This window comes from Homo sapiens, chromosome X, assembly GCF_000001405.40.
Source record: "Homo sapiens chromosome X, GRCh38.p14 Primary Assembly".
Classification (NCBI taxonomy): domain Eukaryota; kingdom Metazoa; phylum Chordata; class Mammalia; order Primates; family Hominidae; genus Homo; species Homo sapiens.
Window position 1 is genome coordinate 68,279,496 of NC_000023.11, and position 23,316 is coordinate 68,302,811.

At 38.1% G+C, this 23,316-nt stretch overlaps 1 protein-coding gene across 7 annotated transcripts in view; it reads right to left on the minus strand.

Annotated features, from left to right (window-relative positions):
- The window catches only part of OPHN1 (oligophrenin 1), a 391,498-nt gene that overhangs the window by 237,152 nt on the left and 131,030 nt on the right, over positions 1 to 23,316 (minus strand). For all 7 annotated transcript variants that reach the window (XM_011530961.2, NM_001437258.1, XM_006724653.3 and 4 more), the window contains 2 exons: positions 19,506 to 19,601; positions 3,561 to 3,622 (listed from right to left, as the gene is read on the minus strand). In XM_011530961.2, the coding sequence (XP_011529263.1) occupies positions 3,561 to 3,622; positions 19,506 to 19,601 (158 nt within the window). The remainder of the gene's footprint in view (positions 1 to 3,560; positions 3,623 to 19,505; positions 19,602 to 23,316) is intronic.

Sequence of the window (23,316 nt, forward strand, 5' to 3'; positions counted from 1 at the left end):
ATGGAGATGACCAGACACAGGCAATTTCCATGCTTGAGTGCTGTGAACTTTCTTACTGTTATTCTAAAGCTTACTTTGGACTCTTCTTTTACAAAGGATAAAATGCAATATAAGACCCACTAAATTATCCAGACTGGGGTAGAGGGGTCCTTTTGCTACAAAGCCAGGAAATGGAAAAGTTATAATCAAGCAATGAATTCCTGGCATGGGGTGAAAGGCACTCATTAAGCCTAACCATCTCAGCATTCCTGGAATTAAGTGGGAAATAGGGAGCAAACACTCAATATACGATTGAAAAGTTGTTGGGACAAAAGGGCACAACATAATTAAAGACAGAAGAAAATGAGTCAGTCATGTGGCAAAGTATCAGCAGGAAGGGTGAGAAAAACAACATCTCAAAAGATGAATACTACTTCAATATGTGAGGGCTTTGTTATTGGGTAAATAAAAGAGATGGAGAAACAACTAGGGCTAAAGAGAAGTACAGCTGAGCTTTCTAGTGCTATCTGAATGAAATGGGGGCAAATGCCTTTGAAAACAACATAGGCAGCAGTCCACAAACCCTGTGGGCAGAGAAGAACATTTAGTAGACTGTGTATTAGCAAGGGGGCCATCTAAGAGGGTCCAGGGAAACCACACATATTGGTCTCTTCTTAGTACATTTAAAAGCAAATATTTTAAACTAAGAAAATTCCCAAATCATATTTCCACAAGCAGAATCCTGTGAGTAACTAAAGATAACTAAAAACCATGCTTACATAATCAGTATTTTCCCCTTATAAAACACGTCCATGTTTACTATGTTATTTGGAGCACTTTAAACAACCATAAGAGATGGGGATTATTTTCCTCACTCTACAAATAAGAAAAAGGAGCCCAGAAAAATGAAGTAATTAATCTGAAGTCAACAAGTTAGTGACAGATCCAGAATTAGAGCCTTAATTCTCTAATTCCCCTACCTCCAAGTCCTGCCTTCATTCCTACTTCTCTAGGAGTCTAGATTCTATGAGCAGTATTTTGAGAAGTCAGTACCACACTGTTGAAAAGAAAGGGATTTTATAGGTAAATTAGTTCTGGCTGTTGGAATAAATAGCTTTAACAAAACTGAGAAGCCCACAAAAAGTCATCTGATGGAGAAAAGTAAAACAGAATTCCCATCTTACCATCATGCCCCTAATAAAAATGAATATTGATCAACGCATACATTTCAACATTTAAGTCCCCAATAAGTCTGGGATGGGTACAAGGACCAGTATTTCCAATAATTTTCTGCTGGTGCTGGTCATGATGGTACTGCCGGTCTAAGGACCACACAAAAAGATTATTTTTAGGCTGTTAAAATAATTAGACTTCATAAAAATGAAACACTTAAGTAGAAATCTAGCAAAATACATAAAATATCTATATAAGGAAACTACAAAACTCTGATGAAAAAAATCAAAAAAGATATAAATAAATGGAGAGATAACCCACGTTTATAATTAGGAAAAGTCAATATTTTTAAGATATCAGTTTTTCCCTGGTAGCTTAAAAGCAAATCCTAATCAAAATCAAAAAGATATCTCTAGGATCTTAAAAGCAATCCCAGTCAAAATCCCAGCAAGTTATTTTGTGGATATGAACAAACTGATTCTTAAGCTTATACCTGACTTCAATGCTTTTTACTACAGTGCAATTACTACCATGCTAAAGTAATGAAGATAGTGTGGTATTTGTGAAAGAATAGATAAATAGATCAATGCAACAGAAATAGAGAGCCCAGATACAGACCCATATAAATATAGTCAAGTGATCTTTGATAAAGGACAAAAGGTAATTCAAGGAGAAAGAATAGTATTTTCAAAAAACAGTGTTGGAGCAACTGGATATCCACATGCAAAACAGTGAATCTAGACACAGACCTTATATCCTTCATAAAAATTAATTCAAAATGAATCATTGACCTAAATGTAAAACAAAAAGCTAAAAAATTCCAAAAATATAACATAGGAGAAAATCTGGGTGACCTTGGATTTGGAAAAGACTTTTTAGATATAACACCAAAAGTATGATCCATTAAAGCAAAAATGTGTAAGTTGGACTTCATTAAAATTAAAAACCTATGCAATGCAAAAGAGACTATTAAGAAAATAAAAAGACAAGCCACAGACGAGGAGAAAATCTTTGCAAATGCCTATTGGATAAAGGTCTGGAATCTAAAATATACAAAGAACTCTTAAAACTTAACAAAAGAAAATCAATTTAATAATAGGCAAAAGAACTGAACAAATACCTCACCAGAAAGGATATACCGATGGCAGTTAAGCATATGGAAAGATGCTCTGCATGATATGTGATTAGGGAGTTGCAAATTACAACAGTAATGAGATACCACTACACATCCGTGAGAATGGCTAAAATCCAGAACACTGACAACAGCAAATGCTGGTAAGAACATGGAGCTGGCGAGGACATGGAGCAACAGGATCTCTGATTCATTGCTGGTTATGCGAAATGGCACAGCTATTTTGGAAGTTGGTTGGCAATTTCTTACAAAATTAAACATACCCTGACAATTTACACTCCAGCAATTACACTCCTTATTATTTAACCAAATCAGTTGGAAATTTGTATCAACACAAAAACCTACATACAACTGTTTATAATAGTTTTCCTTATAATTGCCAAAATAACCAAGATGTCCCTCAGTAGGTGAGTGGACAAACTGTGGTAAATCATACAATGGGATATTACTTAATGATAAAAATAAATGACAGGAAAATAAAATGCATATTGCTAAGTCAAATACGCCAATCTGAAATGGCTACATACTGTTTGATATCTACTATAAACATTCTGGAAAAGGCAAAACACAATAAAAAGAAAGATCAGTGGTTGTCAGGGTTTCAGGACTGGAGAAGGAAGAGAAGGATGAATAGATTGGACAAAAGAAATGTTCACGGCCATGAATCTATTCTGTATGGTGACACTGTAATGGTGGATACATGTCATTATATATTTGTCAAATCTATAAAATGTATAATACCAAGAGTAAATTCTAATGTAAACTATGAACTTTAGTTAATAATATTGTTTCAATATTGGCTCATCAATTATAACAAATGTATCACATTCACATGATGTTTAATAATAGGGAAAACTGAATGGGAGAGAGAAAGGTGGTATATGAGTTCTATCTTTATTTTCTACTGATTTTCTCTATAAAAGTAAAACTACTCCACAAATTAAAGATTAACAAATGGATAATTTGGCTAAAAACACTAAAGACCTCAATTTCTGTCAACATGTTCAAAGGCCCAGTTTAATATCCACTGAAATTATTTTTCACTGAAATGAACACAGATGGGATTTGCACGTTAATTTCCCTCTATCTAATGCCAAACTCTCAGGGTGGAAGCTTGAGACATAATAACCAGATCTATTACCTAACTATTTTTATAGCACCAAGAAGCTATCTGACAGAAATCAAAATAGTATAGGATCAATCCAAGCATAAAGGAAAGGAAAAATCCCCTATATCACCCATGAACTCAGCTTCAGTGACAGCGTTAGTGACTTACCATCATCATCCTCTCATTTTCTACCTCGTTGAGCAATTCAGCAAATTCCTTGAAGGATTCAGCTGGAAGGAGAGAATCAAATGTAAAACAAATTAATCATGGTGCTTGACAGACAAATGGATAGAGATCTGTGCAACAGGAAGTAGGGACCAGTGCCCTATGCCCACATGGCCACTAGAGGAAGGTGTCAAATCGGAGGACAAAAGCAGGTGTTCAGCACCTGTTGAATGTTTCTTTTCTTTTCTTTCCTCTTTTATCAATCCCCATACACTTTAATATTTTATTTAATCCTTACAGCCACTCAGGAGTAGCTAGAATTTCTCTTATTTCATAGACAAGCTAAAAGATTAGGGAAGGGGCAAGAGGTTTGCTGTGTAATTAATTGGCAGCTATAGAACCCTGAAACGAGTTTGGATCCCTGTTCCACTACTGACCAACCAGAGACTATTGCTGTAAAAACTAAATTGGATGGTGAATGTAGTGTCAACACAAAGTAAATAATAAACATTACCCTTTCCACCCTCCCAAACTTTCTACTCTTCTAGTGCCAATTGTGCCACTTACTGGCAGGATGACTGGGCAAATCACTTCCTTTCTCAGAAATTCAATGTCTTTATATACAAAAAAAAGTAAGTTAAGCTAAATAGTCTTTAGTGCCTATTCAAATTCCTCAACTTCTCTCCAGAAGCAGGAAGTATATTCTCGACTGGCATCTGAATGAAAGCCTGGAAAAACAAATTTGTCTATACTAATATTTTTAATCAAAAATTGAGTTTCCTCCTTAAAACAACTGAACAAGTCCAGCATTCCTGGTGTCAAGGAAATGAATTTTGGAGTCAACACAGGATGCAAGGCAATGACATTTCTTTCTTCTTCTGAGGATTAAGTTGCTGCAAATACCCAGGGAGATCACCTTTGAAAACACTAAATTCATTCAGAGCTCAACCGTAGCATAGAAAAGATAAACACCATACTCAGAAAGAGTAAACAGGAAAAAATGGAAATGTTTATTGACCTTCTGTCCCCAAATACTTTATGCTAAGAAAAGAGTCAGAGATTTTAATTGGCATTTTTCCAGACACGATCAGTTTACCTCTAAAGGAAATGTGACAAATATCATATTCAAACATTTAAAGGAAAAGACTAAATTTCATGGACATTAAATGTGCCAAGCCTTCTGCTTGAGGGTTTAATTGTGACAATATCTTTATTAGGTGCTTATTATTATCACTGAATTGATATCACCATATAATATAGTTTGGGTATCTATCTCCTCAAAATCTCATGTTGAAATTTGATCCCCAATGTTGGAGGTGAGGTGTGACACACTGACTCCCTTTCTTCTTCTGCCACCACTGGAAGCTTCCTGAGGTGCTCACCAGAAGCAGATGCTGATGCCATGCTTCCTATACAGCCTGCAGAACCATGAGCCAAATAAACCTCTCTTCTTCATAAATCACCTAGCATTGGGTATTCCTTTATGGTGACACAAATGGACTGAGACATAATAAAATGCACCATTTTAAAGTGTACAATTCGGGCTTTTAGTATATTCACAAAGTTGTGCAACTATCACCACTGTACAGTTGCAGAACATTTTCATCACCCCCAAAAGAAACCCAAACCCCATTAGCATTACACCCCATTACCACTTCCTCCCAACACCCAGATAACCACTAATCTATTTTCTATTTCCATGAACTTGCCTACTCTAGACATTTCTCATAAATGGAAACACATGTGACCTCTGAATCTGGTTTATGCAACCATGAACATTTGTGAACAAGTTTTATGTGAATGTACGTACATATGAAAAGTTGGCCCTCCATGTGTGTGAATTTCACATCCCACAAATACTGTATTTTTCTATCCAAATCAAAGAGAAAAAGTCTGCCTGTAACTGGACCTCTGCGTTTTGAACCCATATTGTTTGAGGGTCAACTATATTTAGTATTTCATTATAATCAGTTTTATTTCTCTAGGATTAGTAGTAATGTCCCCTATTTCATTCCTGATTTTAGTAATTCAAGTAGTCTCACGGTCAGTCTAGCTAAGGGTTTGTCAATTTTGTTTAACTTTATGAAGAACAGATGTTTGGTTTCAATGACTGTCTTGTTATTTTGACAAGGCTGCCTTATTATTATATTCTTTTTCTGTTCTCCATTTCATTTATTTCCTCTTTAGTCTTTATTATTTCTTTACTTTTGTTTCTTTAGTTTGCTCTTGTTTTTCAAGTGTCTTAAGTTGGAAAGTTTGGTTATTGATTTGATATCTTTGTTCTTTTTTAACATAGGAATTTGAAGCTACAAATTTCCTTCCAAACACTGTTTTAGCAGCATCCCATAAGATTTAGTATGTTGTGACTGTTTTCATTCATTTCTCTTCTTTCATTTTTCTCTTATTTTTTACAAGATTATCTCTGTTATTTTCTTTCATTAGACTCATATGGTTAGGCATGTATCTCTAAATTTAACTTCTTGGATGTGCAGATTCATGTTTTTCACCAAATTTGCCAATTTCTTGGCCATTATTTCTTCAAATATTCTTTCTTTCCTGTCTCACTCTCTTCTTCTGAGGTTCTCATTCTGTATATGCTCTTATGCTTGATGATATCCCACAGGTATCTGAGGTTCTGTTCATTTTTCTCAATCATTATTCTTTATTTCCCTCAGATTGAATGATCTCAATTCACTTGTCTTTAAATTTGCTGGTCATTTATTTTCCCAGTACAATATGGTGCTGAACCCCCAGTAGTAAGTTTTTCATTTCAGTTATTATACTGCAACTTCCAACTGCAAGTTTCAGTTGATTCCTTTAAAAAAAATCTATCTCTTTATTGATATTGTCTATTTTGTGAGACACTGTTCTCATTCATTTCTTAAGTTCTTTAGACATGGTCTCATTTATTAATTTAAATATATTTAAATAGGTAATTGAAACTCTTTGTCTAGAAAATCTAATGTAAGGGCTTCCTCGGGGGCAGGTTCTATTAATTGCTTTTTTTCCCTTGTTCAAGGGTCATATTTTACTATTTCTTTGCATGTCTCATAATTTTTTAAAAGTTAACATTCTAAATAGTGTGGCAACTTTGGAAATCAGAACTCCTCTCTTTCCCCAGAGCTTGTTGTTCTTGTGGTTGCTTGTTGTTACATTGGCTTCATGGACTCATTCTATAGTCTGCATTCTTTGTCATATGAAACCACTAAAGTCTCTGGTCAGTAAGCTTACTGGTCAACAAGTGATTGGACAGAGATTTCTTTAAATGGTTTGAACAAATATCTCCAAGCCTTTGCTGAAGGGCTCTCTGTGTATTGTGGGGTGTGCCTTCAACATTCAGCCAGACAGTTTACAACTGTGCCTTAGCCTTCACTCCTCCTTGCAAAGAGCTGAAGGTCAGCCAGAAGTGGGAGATTAGATGTCTCAAGTCTAATCTCCTTGTTTGTATCTTCTAGACAGATACAAACGCTGGGTATGTACAAAGCCCCTCTCATGTGCATGACTCCTAGATTTCCAGGAATATCTCACAGCTCTTCAAAGCTCTCCAAGGATAATTCATTCTCCATTTTGTCCTGTTTGGTTTATTGTTCAGCTTCTTATTTGCTACTTTATTCTTTTTGTTGTCTGTGGAAACTGTAGTACTAAACAACTGCCACTGAATGGTTTTAGAAAATGCCCTAGGGGCAGGTGTGGTGGCTCACACCTGTAATCCTAGTACTCTGGGAGGCTCAGGCAGGTGGACTGCTTGAGACCAGAAGTTTGAGACCAGCCTGGCCAACGTGGAGAAACTTGTCTCTACTAAAAATACAAAAATTAGCTGGGCATGGTGGCAGGTGCCTGTAATTCCAGCTACTCAGGAGGCTGAGGCAGGAATATTGCTTGAAATCGGGAGGCAGAGGCTTCAGTAAGCCAAGATGCCACTACTGCACTACAGCCTGGATGAGAGAGAGAGAAAGAGAGAGAGAGAAAGAAGGAAGGAAGGCAGGAAGGAAGGAAAAGAAATTAAGAAAGGAAGAAAGGAAGGAAGGAAGGAAGGAGAAAGAAAAAGAAAGGAAGAAAAAAAAGAAAGAGAGAGAGAAAGGAAGGAAGGAAGGAAGAAAGAAGGAAAGAAAGAAAGAAAGAAAGAAAGAAAGAAAAGGGAGGGAGGGAGGAGAAGGGGAAGGGAAGAAAGGAAAGAAGGAAGGAGGGAAGGGAAGGGAAGGGAGAAAAGAAAAGAGAAGAGAAGGGAAGGGAAGGGGAAAAGAAGAAAGAAAGGAAGAAGGAAGGAAGGAAAAGAAAAGAAATTAAAAAAAAAAAAAAAACAATCACAAGTGGGTTGCAGTGACTCATGCCTTTAATCTCAGAGGCCAAGGCAGGAGGATTGCTTGTGAGGCCAAGGCAGGAGGATTGCTTGAGGTCAGGAGTTCTGTCTCAAAAAAAAAAAAAAAATGCACAAAAGAAAGAAAATGCGCTAGTAAAACAACAACAACAACCATTTAAAGAGTAAACTCTGAGTCAACTCAAATAACATAAGCCCTGTGAGTGATATTTCTCAAATTTTGAGTAACTTCACACCCATTCTACCCTCACCCATGGCTGCTAGAATGGTGGTTTGCACACATTGCATGATTATACAGACGTTAGTTTTCAAAGCTACTATGGAACTGCAGAAAGGAATAGGAACATGGCAAATTAAAATGTCATAGAGCTCAGTGTTTTCTCAACTATTCAGCCATTTTTATTTAATAAACATGCACTGTTTTGTTGCAAAATTTTGGTTCGTTTTTGGAGTTTTAAAAAAGTTGATTTTGGAAATTTCTGCCAGTGTTTTTGCTGCTTTTATGAAAGATCGAATTTTTGGAGGTCATTTTTCAACTATTCCCACCGTGGTAACCTGGTCAGAGCTTCTTGATCCTTACTTTCAATTAACATACAGCTTCAGTAATTGTTAAATCACTTTAAAATTAAGTTGCTGAGTCAAGAAAAACCTCATTGCTGAATATGTGGCCTGAAAAAGCCCTATGAGTACATTTATTGCTTGATCGGAAGACTGCAAATGCCTAGAGAAGTATGTGGCACAGGGCAAGAAGCATGTAGCAAAGTCAAGATAGCCTCTTGATTCTAAGATTGTAATCACTTGCTTTCTAAAAAGGTTAAGACTTTTACAGATCATCTATCTTAGTCCAACTATGTCATTTTATTCCTGAGAAAACTGAGGCCCAGAGATTGGAACTGACTTGTTCAAGGTCACACAGCTAGCTGAACAGTCAAAAGAGGACCCCATTTCAATGTTCTATCTACAGTCCCCAGTCATAGTGAAAGCACTATGTCACATTGTTTTCACTGTCCCTCCAACTGGCCCCACAAATGGTGTTTTCTTCTCCAAATATCCTCATATTCACTCTCCCTTGGTCATATCTATAGCAAATCAAGAAAAGGGCAAAAGCAGAACCAGGCACAGTGGCTCACACCTGTAATCCCAGCACTTTGGGAGGCCAAGGAGGATGGATCACCTGAGGTCAGACGTTCAAGACCAGCCTGGCCAACATCGTGAGACCCCCGTCTCTACTAAAAATACAAAAATTAGCCGAGCGTGGAAGCAGACACCTGTAATCCCAGCTACTCGGAAGGCTGAGGCAGGAGAATTGCTTGAACCCAGGAGGCAGAGGTTGCAGTGAGCCAAGATCGTGCCACTGCACTCCAGCCTGGGGGACAAGAGTGAAACTTCATCTCAAAAAGAAAAAGAAAAAGAAAAAAAAGACAAAAGAAAAAGGCAAAAGCGGAAGGTTTGGACAAGGGTTATTTCTGACTCAGAATCTTGAGGTCCTATAAAGCCTCTTACGGATCTATTTTTAACCAAATATCATGGATAATTAATTACAGCATCTTCTAAAAACTAACCCTGCAGACGGCTCTGTAGAATTAATGGGAAGGCAATAAAAGCTTTAGTGAGGAGATCAGACTGTCCATTACAGAGTGTGGGAGAGAATAGTCATTAAGGAGCCAAAGTCATTAGAGTCCTTTTGCCCTCTCTTCAGATACTAGGACTGAGGACTAAGAAAATTGGCTAAGAAATGGAAGAAAACAGCCCTGCATAACCATAACAAACAACAACACCATCATCAATAATAGCAACATCCCCTGCCGCAACACCACCACAAAGCAGGGCTTATAAAACTTACTGCAAAATTCCTCAATAATGTTTACCAATCCAAGAATTTTCTTTTTAAAAAAAGACCACAGCAAGAGAACATTATCCTTGGAAAATTTCAAAGAAATTACAAAAAATTCGGAAAAGTGAGATGGGAAAAGCAATATGGTAGATGTTTCTCAAGTGTTTTATTATTCATCATTACAATTTCAGTGATGAGAAAACTGAGGTTTAATTTAGCAAGGTCATATAAATTACAGTGTTATGCACTGTCTTCCAAACAATTGTAAAAATTGACAAATGTGGATCAAACAGCTTAAAATTATCTATACCCTTTTACATTGTAAATTCGTATCTGGGAAACCATACCTAAAACCTAATCATGGCATGGTCATGGTGGAAAATACCTGTAATCTCAACACTTTGGGAGGCCAAGGCAGGAGGATTGCTCAAATGCCTGATGGCAACAGTGAGCCATCTCTACAAAAGTGAGACCCCCCATCTCTACAAAAAACAAACAAACAAACAAAAAGAACTAATTCTGAATACAGAGGGATAAACCTTTATATCCAAAGGTAGGCATTCAACATTATTGCTGATGATGAATAATTGAAAACACATAAAATGTCCAATGATTGGGAAATTATTAAGTATGTCCACTTAATGGACTATTATTGAAGCTATTAAAAAGGAAATTACACAAAATTTTCTGTACATGACAAAATAGCTAGAGTGTCACACTATTTAAAAACAGAATATAAAAATCTGTATGCAACAATTGTACACAAGTACAGCTATATGCAGAAAATTGTTTCGACCCCCAAAAAAGCCAAGAAAAAAATACATCAAAATAATTGATTCTTTTTTTTTTAATTAAATCTAGCTCTCAGGCTTAACTATTTATTGATTATTTACTATGACATTAACACGGTTATGGAGTGCATATATGTATAAATTTTAAAGTCAAAAATGAAATGATTTAAAGACCTACTTAAAGCTGGGCATGGTGGCTCATGCCTATAATCCCTTCACTTTGGAAAGCCGAGGTAGGCAGATCGCTTGAGCTCAGGAGTTCACGACCAGTCTGGGCAACATGATGAAATTCAACTCTACGAAAAAAGCTACAAAAATTAGGGCCAGGTGCTGTGGCTCACACCTGCAATCCCAACACTTTGGGAGGCCGAGGCAGGTGGATCACTTGAGATCAGGAGTTTGAGACAAGCCTGGCCAACATGGTGAAACCCCATCTCTACCAAAAATACAAAAATTAGCCAGGGGTGGTGGTGAGCACCTGTAATCCCACCTACCCAGGAGGCTGAGGCAGGAGAATTGCTTGAACCTGGGAGGTAGAGGTTGCAGTGAACTGAGATCGTGCCTCTGCACTCCAGCCTGGGTGACAGAGCAAGACTCCATCTCAAAAAAAAAAGAAAGAAAGGGAAAAAAAAGCGACAAAAATTAGCCAGGTGAGGTGTGCTTTCTGGCTGCTCAGGAGGCTGAGATGGGAAAATCAAATGAGCCTGGGAGGTCAAGGCTGCAGTGAGCCACAGTCCTGCCACTGCACTCCAGCCTAGGTGACAGAGCCAAACCCTGATTAAAAAAAAAAAAAATCCCACTTAAGCTACTTATTAGCTATGTGATCCTGGGCAAGTTTCTTAACCTCCATTAGCCTCATTCACCTCCTTAAAATTGCTCTGAGAATTAGATAGTGTACACAAAGCAGTAGGCACACAGTAGGTACTCAGTATACGGAAGCTAATAATAATCTTTTTGTTCATTTCCATATTTTTATAATAAAGCATGTTTATATTATAATGCAAAGATACCAATAAACTCAATTATTACTTTTTTTAATGAAAACTGCCTAAGATCATGTAGTCAGTAAATAAACAGGTCAGAGTCTGAACTCAGGTCCAGCCAAATCCAAGACCATGTTTCTAAATCCTACCATATCCCCATGAAGAAAAGTGAGCCAAGATATAAGGGTCATTGCTATGGATACAATATGGTGGCAGGAACAGGATAGAGAAGAGAGCTCAGAGTGAAAGATTACTGGAGTCCAAGAGACCTTAATGAGGGAGAAAGAGTAAATGGCAGACAGGCCTGAAGCCTGGGCCTGCCAAATGATGCTCCTGAGAAAATGACATTCACTTTGCTAGATCTCTCAACAAATAGGAACGTCTTGGGATCATTTTGTACCACTTACTTGACCCTGGCTGGCACTTAACCAGCAGTCAGTCTCCAGATCAGTCAGAAGGGAAATGGGCAAAAAGGTACAAAAAGCCTATGAGAATAGGGGGCTCATGTTCAGCAGTCTCCTCACTCTGCATGAGTGCCATCTTCTTCACTCAAATTCCCCAGTGGAACCTCAGAGGGCCTGGGAGCTTTGAAAGGACACTGGGTTGTGCCCTGCTTTGTGAATCCCGGACCACTGAGTGTGGAACTGAGACCAGGGCTCCAAGAAAGCAGCCAGTGTTAAGACATCCCACATCCTTCTGTGTTCTGAAAAATGGTTAGACTGCAAAGTCTATATATAGACTTTGCACCTCATATATAGCATCAATCTCCATTCTTCTTCATGCCTCCCATAAGACTTGCAGGTGACTCCCTTGTTTACCTGCCTCTACAATACCCCAATTTTCTTCCATTTCTTTGAGATGTTCCTCATTAATAAAGGTTCTCCCTATGGCAATAACTTCCTTAATTGTCCAGTGCATAGTTTTGGTGCTTTTTGTTTTATCGTCTGAGTTGCACAGGAAGCACCATGAAATCAAAAGAGATGTTCAGACTTCCCTAGCTTAAATGGGCTAAACGTTACCAATGTACATATTTCAGAAATTGAATGCTATACAGGAAGTTCTTAGAGAACGATCAATGTTCTTGCTTTCCACAGTATGTTTTATTAAGATTTCTCAATCTCTTTACTTGATATTCTTTTGGGTGGCTGGGGGTTGTTCAATCAATCCTCCCACCTCAGCCTCCTGAGTACCTGGGATTACAGGTATGCATCGCTGAGCCCAGCTTTACTTGATATTATTGATATATTCTTGGTATATTCTAACTATAAGCTTGCTATGTTCATGGTATATTATGTCAGAATTATTATGTTATGTCTGAAGACTTTTTTCTTCATAAAGGTTGTTTACCAATTTTTATAAATATAATATTCACTCTTCCTTGAAAATAGTGTTATTATGATTATAGATTTTTTGTAAAATCTTTTTATGGATTGATATTTCTTTTGTTTTATATGCCACATAAATCCCATGTATTTTTCAGTTGCATTATTCTTCTGGTAATAAAATTTCATCAAGTCTTCCACTTTTGAAAATGATCAGTAATAAGTTGGCCACTGCCATTTTAAGTCCTTTCTCATCTACACATAGGTTTTTATGTTTTAATCTGATGCTTCCCTGAAAGCATTTAGAATCAGCTCCTAGGCTCAAGTGAGTCACTCACATTTGCCTTCCAAAGTGCTGAGATTACAGGCATGAGGCACCGTACCCAGCCCAATTATCACCTTCTCATATGACTTCGAGTCATGGAGAACTAAAACCTGACGGCCCAGATCCCAATAGAGACTTCTGATTACCTTGTATTTTCTCTTTTCCTCAGGATCTGAGAAGAAGCCCTATGCACTCAAGCCCAATAACTTGATATAAACCTCTAAGGGCTTATCACCACAGCAGAAGGTGCATTGGGCTAGAACTTTCCCCAGAAAAGCTATTGCCTGTGCTAAGAAAGTCTGGCAAAATATTTGGTTCATGCATGCCCCTATATGAAAGATAATCAATATTGTGAACAATGTCACCAACTGACATATGAGCTTAAGAGCTTCAAGATGTATAACCAAAAGATTTTCCCCCCACCAATCTCATGAAAATCACTGAACCTTCAGAATTCAACTCCTGGCTCTTTACTTAAATACAATCTTTTACATTAGTGCTTCTTTTTTCATTTTAGCCATTCCTCTTTTAAGATGCCTGACCTCCAGGACTCTAAAACAACTGACATTTGCCACCACTTCTCAAAAGATACTTCAACTGGTTTTGTAGAAAAAAATACCAACAAAAGCCCTCAAGAGACTATTTCTTAGTCCCTTCTTTATCTCAACCAAGAGGTTTATGATCTGCTGTGAGTTGTTTAGCAATGAATAATATTCACATTAAACAAAAATCAGGATCAGGGGACTGACAATGTTAAACCCTCATGTCTCAGAAACCAGTAATGGGTGGCTGATGGAACTTTCCATCTAGAAGTCTGACCTTAAATCAATCTTCTTGGTCCACAAAGGTGTTTCTTTAAATATGTTAGCATAACTGGGGTGGAAATGTGATTTACAGTCTGAGATTTAGAACATGACTTTTATTCCCCCAGGCATAAACAAACAACCCACTAAAACCCCATGGGTGACATTTTCTGGAAAAGATGTAGCAAGGTAGATGCACAGAATAAAAGAACTATGCTATCAGGGTTCACCTAATGGATGCCATGCTCTGCTGATGACAAGATTGAAATTTGAAGTTAAAATACGAGGCCCTCTGAAGATCCTCACCAAATAATTCCCAGGTACCCAGGCTGTAAACTTTAAGGAGGTATATTCACTCTCAAGTGCCAGCCTGTACTTGCACAACCCTGAGAGTAAGTGCCTCCTTAAATCTGAGCCCTAGCCACCTGCCTTGTTTCACCTTAACCCTGGAACTGACTCAGATATCACTTCTCTGAGAAGGCTTCCATGTTTATTCTCCGCATCATCCCGTCCCCCAATACATATACACACCAGTCTGAATTAGGGGCTACCATGTGCTTACCTCTACCATAGTCCTTATCACATTGTGTTACCATTGCCTATTTAGTTATCCACCTCCTTTAATAGACTATGAGCTCCTTGAAGGCAGGAAGATGTGTTCTATGTCTCTGAATCCCTTGTTTATGTCATTTAGTGGACACGCTACCTATTTACTAATGAACAAAAATACATATAAGGGATCCTGAGAAAAGAGTAACCTGGCCGGGTGCAGTGGTTCACGCCTGTAATCCCAGCACTTTGGGAGGCCAGGGTAGGCGGATTACCTGAGGTCAGGAGTTCAAGACCAGCCGGGCCAACATGGTGAAACCCAGTCTCTACTAAAACTACAAAAAATAGCCGGGCATGTATTTACGCATGCCTGTAATCCCAGCTACTCGGGAGGCCGAGGCAGGAGAATCTCTTGAACCCGGGAGGCGGAGGTTGCAGTGAGTCGAGATCACGCCACTGCACTCCAGCCTGGGTGACAAGAGTGAGACTCTATCACAAAAAAAAAAAAAAAAAAAAAAAAAAAAAGTAAGCATATTCTCTTAAGCCTATGTGGCAAACAGGCCTCTTTCTAGCTCATGGTGCTATGGTGACATTGCAAGTCATTTGCCTATGCCAAAACTTGTATGATTGGGAAGTCCATGAGGACAAGCTTTATAGCAGATGCTCAATAAAATGTTATTGAATGAATCAATTGGGCCTTAGGAGATTCAGGCTCTAATAGTAAATCTGGTACTATGTAGCTGTGTGGTACCTTCCACAATCACATCCCTACCTCTGGATCTCAGTTTCTCCATCTGTTGAATTGAGGGATAAACTTGCTACTATTCTGTCTCTCTTTCTCTCATTAGTCTATATAAAGTGCTTACAATGACATCTGCTATTTGGGAGCACTCTAAAAGTGTCTGTTTCTCTCGTTTAATCTACAAATCCCATTTTTCAAGCAAATTCTTACATGAAAGCCCAATATAAACCGCTGTTTCATTTGATCATGAAAGACGGGAGACACTGAGGATCCAAGGAGCACAGTTTGGAAAAGCTTGAGATCTGTCCTGGGGTTACAAAATGCTCGCTGATGTTATAAAGACTATGTAAAAATCAAGGCCCTGGGCTCCGCTATAGAAATTCTGATTCTTTAGGTATAAGGTAGGTCCTGTGACAGGATAAACGAGATCCTCAGGTGACTCGGATATGAAGTTATACGAGAAATAATGAACTAAATACTATTTAAGGTCCCTGCCAACATGGACATTTTACAATCCTATATTTTCCTTTGGTTAATTTGGGAAATATAATTTCAAACCAACACTGTTTTCCACAAATTACCTTCTATAGTGTTCCTAGTAGAATCAATAACAATGAATTATTGAGCACCAACTATATGCCAGACACTGAGCTAAATGATTTACAGACACTCTCTGATATAAGTATTATCTGATTTGCTCCTCATGACCTTGTGAGGTGGATTATACTCCCCCACTATACTGATGTGGAAAACAGATGCTCAACAAGCTCAATTAATGTTACCAAGATCCCATAGCTAACATATAAAACTCAAATCTAAGCAGACACAAGACTTCTTAGACACCTGGGATTTCCTTTGGTTACAGAGACATAGAGGTAAAGACAAGGCAATGCCAAGAAGGCATAGATGTCTAACTCTAAAGCAGTGAAAAAAGTCACGGTCAGATCAATGACACATGGCCTCCCACTTGTCCCTGTTAGACATAAACTATTCAGGGTAAGTCCTAGAGCTGATCGTCAGGGGGAGGAACTCTTCAGAATCCTCAGGCTTTCTCCATGAGCTCTAGGAAGCACTGTCATTTCTGCTAAATAACGAGTACCTACAATGCTACTGAGTGACCTTTTGGAGCCAATAATGAAAAATTTTTAATGAGAAGGCCCTCTGCACATATAATGTGAAATCCAAAAGGGTATCACAATTCCATCCAAAGTGTGCTTTAAGCAATTTTTTTTTCCAGTGAAACAAGATGTATTGACTCAGGGCCAGCAGTATTGGCAATAGGAGGGCATGGCACACTCTGCGTTCTCAGCTTCCAAAGCAACTGCTCTTTCCCAACAATAGCCTCCCAGTAGGGTCCCCAGTATTTTTTTCTCGAAGCCTCCAGAGAGCCTCAGCCTCAGCTGTTGGAGTACTGGCTCTTCCTCTCACTACCACCACAATTCCCAGCTTTCAAAATGAGATTCAACAAGGACAATGACCATGACAGGCCAATGAATTTTCAAAACCTCTCTTTGGTCCTCAATAATGAAAGTCAGTTCATTAAGTCAGCATCCTTAAAAGCAGTGTTCAAATGATAAGTAGGAGCTTCTGAAATTGGCAGGCAAATGATCACTGAGTTAAAGAGTTATTATAAATCATACATTAAGAAGCAAAAAGGCCGGGCACTATGGCTCATGCCTGTAATCTCAACACTTTGGGAGGCCAAGATGGGTTGGATCACTTGAGGTCAGGTGTTCGAGACCAGCCTGGCCAACGTGGTGAAACCGTGTATCTATTAAAAATACAAAAATTAGCCAGGCATCATGGCGGGTGCCTGTAATCCCAGCTACTCGGGAGGCTCAGGCAGGAGAATCACTTGAACCCGGGAGGCAGAGGTTGCAGTGAGCCCACTGATCTCCAGCCTGGGGAACAGAGCAAGACTCCATCTTAAAAAAAAAAAAAAAAAAAAAAGAAGCAAAAGACTGGGTGTGGTAGCTGATGCCTGTAATCACAGAGCTTTGGGAGACCAAGGTGGTGGGAGGATAGCTTGAGCCCAGGAGTTCAAGACCAGTCTGGGTAAACAGAGCAAGACCCTGTCTTTCTTTCTTTTTTTAAAAAAGCAGCAAAGATGTCATAATCAGCAGCTCTGATGGAGCCCCACAGACCCCCACAGGAACCTGGCATCACCAAGGAGTCATTTTTCTTTTGTTTATAAGTCATTTTGCCCAGGCTCACACACCCTTTTTCCTGCATAGCACTCATTGACATTTGCAGTGAGGTTCATGGGATTAAGAGAATTAAGGCTCAAAGTTCAACATAAAGGAAGACATGAGAAAAGTCTCAGATCTGTTGGTGGCTTTGGTATCAATAGGCACCTGTTCAAAATCAGACCCTTATACCAGAAAAAGGAGCCATTTATATAATTTCATGTACCATGTATCTCCCAATCTTCCAACTGATAGGCAAGTAGCAGTTATTTTTAAAAAGAAGTACAAAAATATCTTATATTAATAATAATGTTGAAATACCTAACATTCATTTAGACACTATGCACACTTGGCATTATCTCATCCCCATTTTACAAGATAAGAAAATTTAACACTTAGAGAGGTGAAGTTACTTGCCAAGGTTACAGAGCTATTAAGATGTAGAGGTAGAGTTCAAACTTGGGTTACTTGATTCCAGAGCCCATAATGTTAACTTTTAAATAGTCATGCACTTGGACCTGGATAGATTTACTGAAGTAAAATAAAATGGAGTGAATAAGAAAATAATACAAATACAAATATCTGACTCACTAGTTACACAGTCACATTTAACCAAAATGGTCACCAATCTAAATCTAAAAAATGTTCATTGAAATATTACTTATAATAGTGAAAAATGGAAATAAGCTATATTTCCAAGAATAGCTAAATATTAAATGAAGTATAGCTCTCATAATAATGAAATTTGAATGTATCCATTACTCATTCATTTACCAACATTTCATTGAACATCTACTGTATGCCAGGCACTCCTTTATGTGCTGGGAAAACAGTAGTGAACAAAACAAGGCCATACAAACCACCCATAAAACTTGTGAAAAATCTTAAATTACATGGGAAAATGCTTATAATAAAATATTTGGTTAGAAAGATAATATTATATATTTAATATGAACTACATTGCATACAAAGAAAACAGATATATGTAGAGAAAAAGACTTAAAGGATAATATAAAAGTATGTCCAAGATACTATTTCTGTGCAGGAATATCTTCCTATCATAAGTAACTTATACTTTTATATATTATTAAAATTGACTATAATAGGCATTTATTAATAATAATACATTTTCACATTTTAGTTCCAGGGCTAATAAATATAACTGTGTTACTAACTTGTTCCAGTAACAATAGATCATTCATAATAGCTCTTTGGTTCAGTGTTCTCATCTAGCAAATGCTCTACACTAACCCTTTAACTCAGGAATCAGCAAACTTTTTCTTAAATGGCCAGAAGATAACGATTTTAGGCTTTGAGGACCATCCAGTGGTGGTCACTAACTACTCAGTGCTATTCTTGTGCCACAAAAATACCCATAGAAAACGCTTAAATAAATGAGTATGGGTATGTTCCAATAAAACTTTATTTACAAAAGCAGGTGGTGAGCTGGAATAGGCCCAGGGGTTTGTTAACCTCTCCTCTTTACCTTCATAACAAATAATACAAACGCAAACTTCTTTTGACTTCTACTATTCAACCTCCTCTTTTTAACATCTTTGATAGATATTAACCCCATTTTAACAGAGGACAAGATGAGACTCAGAGACAGAAATATCTTCTCCAAGATTATACAACTAATAGAGTGAGTTGTTAAATCCAATTCCCAAGAGAGATGCTAAGCAACCTGTTCCTGATAAGTTGTAGACACACAAATGCTAATTTAACACTTTCTAGGGAAATTTGATTCCTTAGAAGAATCTAACTCCAACCATTTTGGGAAATAAACCAAAAAAGTCCCCCTTTTAATATATCCTTTAGGAAAATAACTATGCTTTAAAGAAAAGGTCGCTTGCAGACTGTCTGAGTCAAAAATCTCAGTAGAAGTTTAAGGGTATCTTTTGATTGCTGTCGTGTGAGGAGGAAATGGGACTGGCAGGGAAAGTTTCCTGATCCTTCCTAATCAACCTCCCAGGGCCTTGGCATTGGACCACAGTGGATGAAGATGTCCAAGTGCTCTGTATCCACAAATCAAAAAGACTACATGGTCTCAGGGCTGCCTCAACAGGTATATGACCACATGTAGCTGAAGACTTACCGATGTTAATTTCATCATCAGTCAGAGTGTCTCCAATGAAATCAAACTGAAATGACTGCAGCGTCTGGGAAAATTTCTGAACAGCAGAAGAATAATCTGCAAAGGAAGGGTAACAAGAGAAATGTTCAACAATGCTATGCTTTGATCTATTTCCTCATCTCTATAAGAGCAGATAAAAGAAAACCAAAGGTAAGTGCTCTGAGCAGGTTGCAACTAGCATTTAATGAAATAAAACAAAAGATTAGATATGCAGTAGAAGAAAGTTTGAACAACTAAAATCACAAGAAGAAAGGATGGGGCATCTCAGTAAAGTCCTTAAAAGTTACGGGACATGTTTTTATCCTCAACACCTCTCCTCTCTGACCTGTTCCACTCAAAGCATGGAAGACATGAAACTACTTAGATATACTCTTAAGAGGGTCTCCTTACACATTTCCTAAACCCCTATTATGGGCAATACACTAGATGCTTTCCATTTTATACGTGTGGAGTTCAAAGTCCCAGAGCTTGGTGGCAAAGCTGGAAATAGAAGCCAGGTGGTCTGTCTGCTTCTCCAGAGCCCTATCCATGATGATACAGGTACCACCTGGACATTTTACATGTTAACCAGATGACAGCCTGGGTTAGGATGCTATCTGGAAGACGAAGACTCCTTAACTTGTTCACAGAGTATTTATCAAGAGACCTGACCTAAGAAAGCAACGAATGAAAACAATCAGGGTGACATGGCCAAACAAATGCTTTTATTTTTGGTCAATGATTTTGAATTTTAGAATATATTTTAGTGTATAAGTTGGTATAAAATTAAATCATGTTTAGCTATACTTTTGAGAAGTTATCTTTATTGAGATTTTTTAAATATGCCCCCACCAAGAGGTCCAACCCAACTTTTGACCCTTGTTGCACTCCAAGAGTGGTTCTAAGGCCAGCAGCATCATCATCGCCTGGGAGGTGGAAGGAAATGCACATTGCCAAGCCCTACCCTGGACTTAACAAATCAGAAATTACATTTTTATCCAAGCCCCAGGGCATTCATATACTCCTTAACTTTGAGGCACACTGATCTTACCAACAAAGCTAACCTGTTAGACCATGTTCTAGGAAAGCTTAAGCTTGTTGGTTATTTTTGGCTCTCTTTTCCGATTTCTTCTTTCTCTCCCTAGTTTCATCATCCTCCTCCATCCTGCATTTTCAAACCTATCATATGCATGGACTTACTGAGCCTGAGTATTTGCTCTCAGACCAAGGAAAATGGAGACAAGGCAAGCAACCACACTGAGTCCTTTTAATGAAAAGCTGACATCGTTAAGCAAAAACACAATAAAACAAGTTCAAGCATTTGGCTGAAACAAATTATAAGCCAAAAATTTTATTAGCATTTTGTCTTTGTCTCATTTTCAGAAATACTTATTATCAGAATTTTAAGTCTTAACTCTTTGAACGAATCACTGAAAATAGTAATAATAACAATAATAATGACATTTTTACACAGACCAGGTTAGCATGGCTTCTCACAATTTTGACAATCTAGAATAACATTTTCCACTACAAATCTAAGCCACATGAATGTGACAAGTGCATGCACACCCTTCAAATCCTTTCACAGTACATCAGCAACGAGAACACAAAACTGGCTCCATGTCTGGAAAACAATTTATTTTTTCTGCTCTCCTTGGCTAACAGTAAAAAAGGGCAGGCCCAGAATTCCCCATCTGCTCTCTGTTATGCTCAGGGAAATTAAATAAAAACATTTATTGTGTTGCTCTTCCACACCTACTAGTATTTCCTAAATATTATTTGAGCCAAGGAAGGAACAGTTATTAATTATTCCTCTTCTTAAAATTATCTCAAAATTTCAGAAACCACAAATACTATAATATTCAACATTTATAGTATTTTGAAAATAAAGGCATGGAATAAGGAAGAAGTTGCATCTAGTCTCCCTTTTCATTATTTGTACCTATCTCTTCTTTTCTCCAGACTCTGGGCCTTTAAAACACTATATCTACAAAAGGCCTTGAAATTTTATGAGGAGCTTTCCACAAACATTTCCATTTACTGCTCCCAACTACATAAAAGTAGGAAATACTGTCCTCACCTTAGAATCAAATGAACAAAAAATGAAACAATGCACACAAATTCCATTCAAAAATATGAACAAGCAGCCGGGTGTGGTGGCTCACGCCTGTAATCCCAGTACTTTGGGACACTGAGGCGGGCAGATCACCTGAGGTCAGGAGTTCGAGACCAGCTTGGCCAACTTGGTGAAATCCCATCTTTACTAAAAATACAAAAATTAGCCAGCTGTGGTGGTGGGCTTCTGTAGTCCCAGCTACTTGGGGGGTTGAGACAGGAGAATCACTTGAACCTGGGAGGTGGAGGTTGCAGCGAGCCGAGATCATGCCACTGAACTCCAGCCTGGGTGCCAGAGCGAGACTCCATCTCAAAAAAAAAAAAAAAAAAAAAAGAACAAGCATAAATTCACAGCTCTTCTTGAAACAAGGTCCAAGTTCCCATACATTTGTCCCTTGTGCTGAGAAAAGTCCTGGAAAAGACTCATATATTTTAGATAAACAAGTGAAGTGGATGACTTCTAGACTACAAAGAATCCATAGATAACCTAGAAATGCTTGTCGTGTGTGACACATTTAATTCTTCATCATTTTAAATTCACTACATCACTCCAAACAATGTGAACTCATCATTTTATCTTCCCCATCCCCGTCCATTCTGCCACTATGTCAATATTTTTCAGTCCAGCTTTCAGAGTCCTCTCTCCATCACCTTATTTATGTATGTGTCTTCCACAATGTCTTTACTTCACCTTTCCCTTACACATTATAGAATGTAGTTGGATAGTGCTTTTTAGGCACTTTGAACTTTAAGGGAATGAGACAGAATATGAACAAGATTGATTAATTAGTGTAGACACCTGTTTTTCATCACAATACTTTTCGAGAGTTTCATGAAAATAGAATCATATAAAATAGACTCCTTTGTATCGGACTCATTTAGGTCTGCACAATGTTTTAAAATTCATCCACGTTATCGCTTGTATCAGTAATTTTTGTTTTTGTTGCTAAGTAACACTCCATTATGTAAATATACCACAATGTGTTTATTTATCATTTCTTCATGGACATCAGTGTTTGTTTCAGTTTTTCACCATTGTGAATAAAGTTTCAAAGAAAATTCATGCACAAGCCTCTTCAGGGCGTATGTTTTCATTTCTCCAATGCATGGGTTACATGGTAAATTGGTAAGTATACATAACCCGAGTGCCACATTTAGCTAAAAATAAATCAAGAGCCAGGCGCAGTAGCTCATGCCTATAATTAAGCACTTTGGGAGGCCAACGCGGGCAGATTACTTGAGGTCAGGAGTTCGAAACCAGACTGGCCAACATGGTGAAACCCCATCTCTACTAAAAATACAAAAATTAGCCAGGCATGGTGGCATGCACCTGTAGTCCCAGCTACTTGGGAGGCTGAAGCAGGAGAACCACTTGAACCCGAGAGGCAGAGATTTCAGTGAGCTGAGATCCTGCCACTGCACTCCAGCCTGGGCAACACAAAGAGACTCTATCTCAAAAAAAAAAAGAAAAAAGAAAAAAAAGAAATTTAAAAAGCAATCACGACGGGTTGCAGTGGCTCATGCCTTTAATCTCAGAGCTTTGGGAGGCCAAGGAAGGAGGATTGCTTGAGGTCAGGAGTTTGAGATCAGCCTGGGCAATATAGTGAAACCCTGTCTCCACACAAAAAAATTTTCTTTAAATTAGCTATGTGTGGTGGTGCAAGCCTGTAGTCCTAGC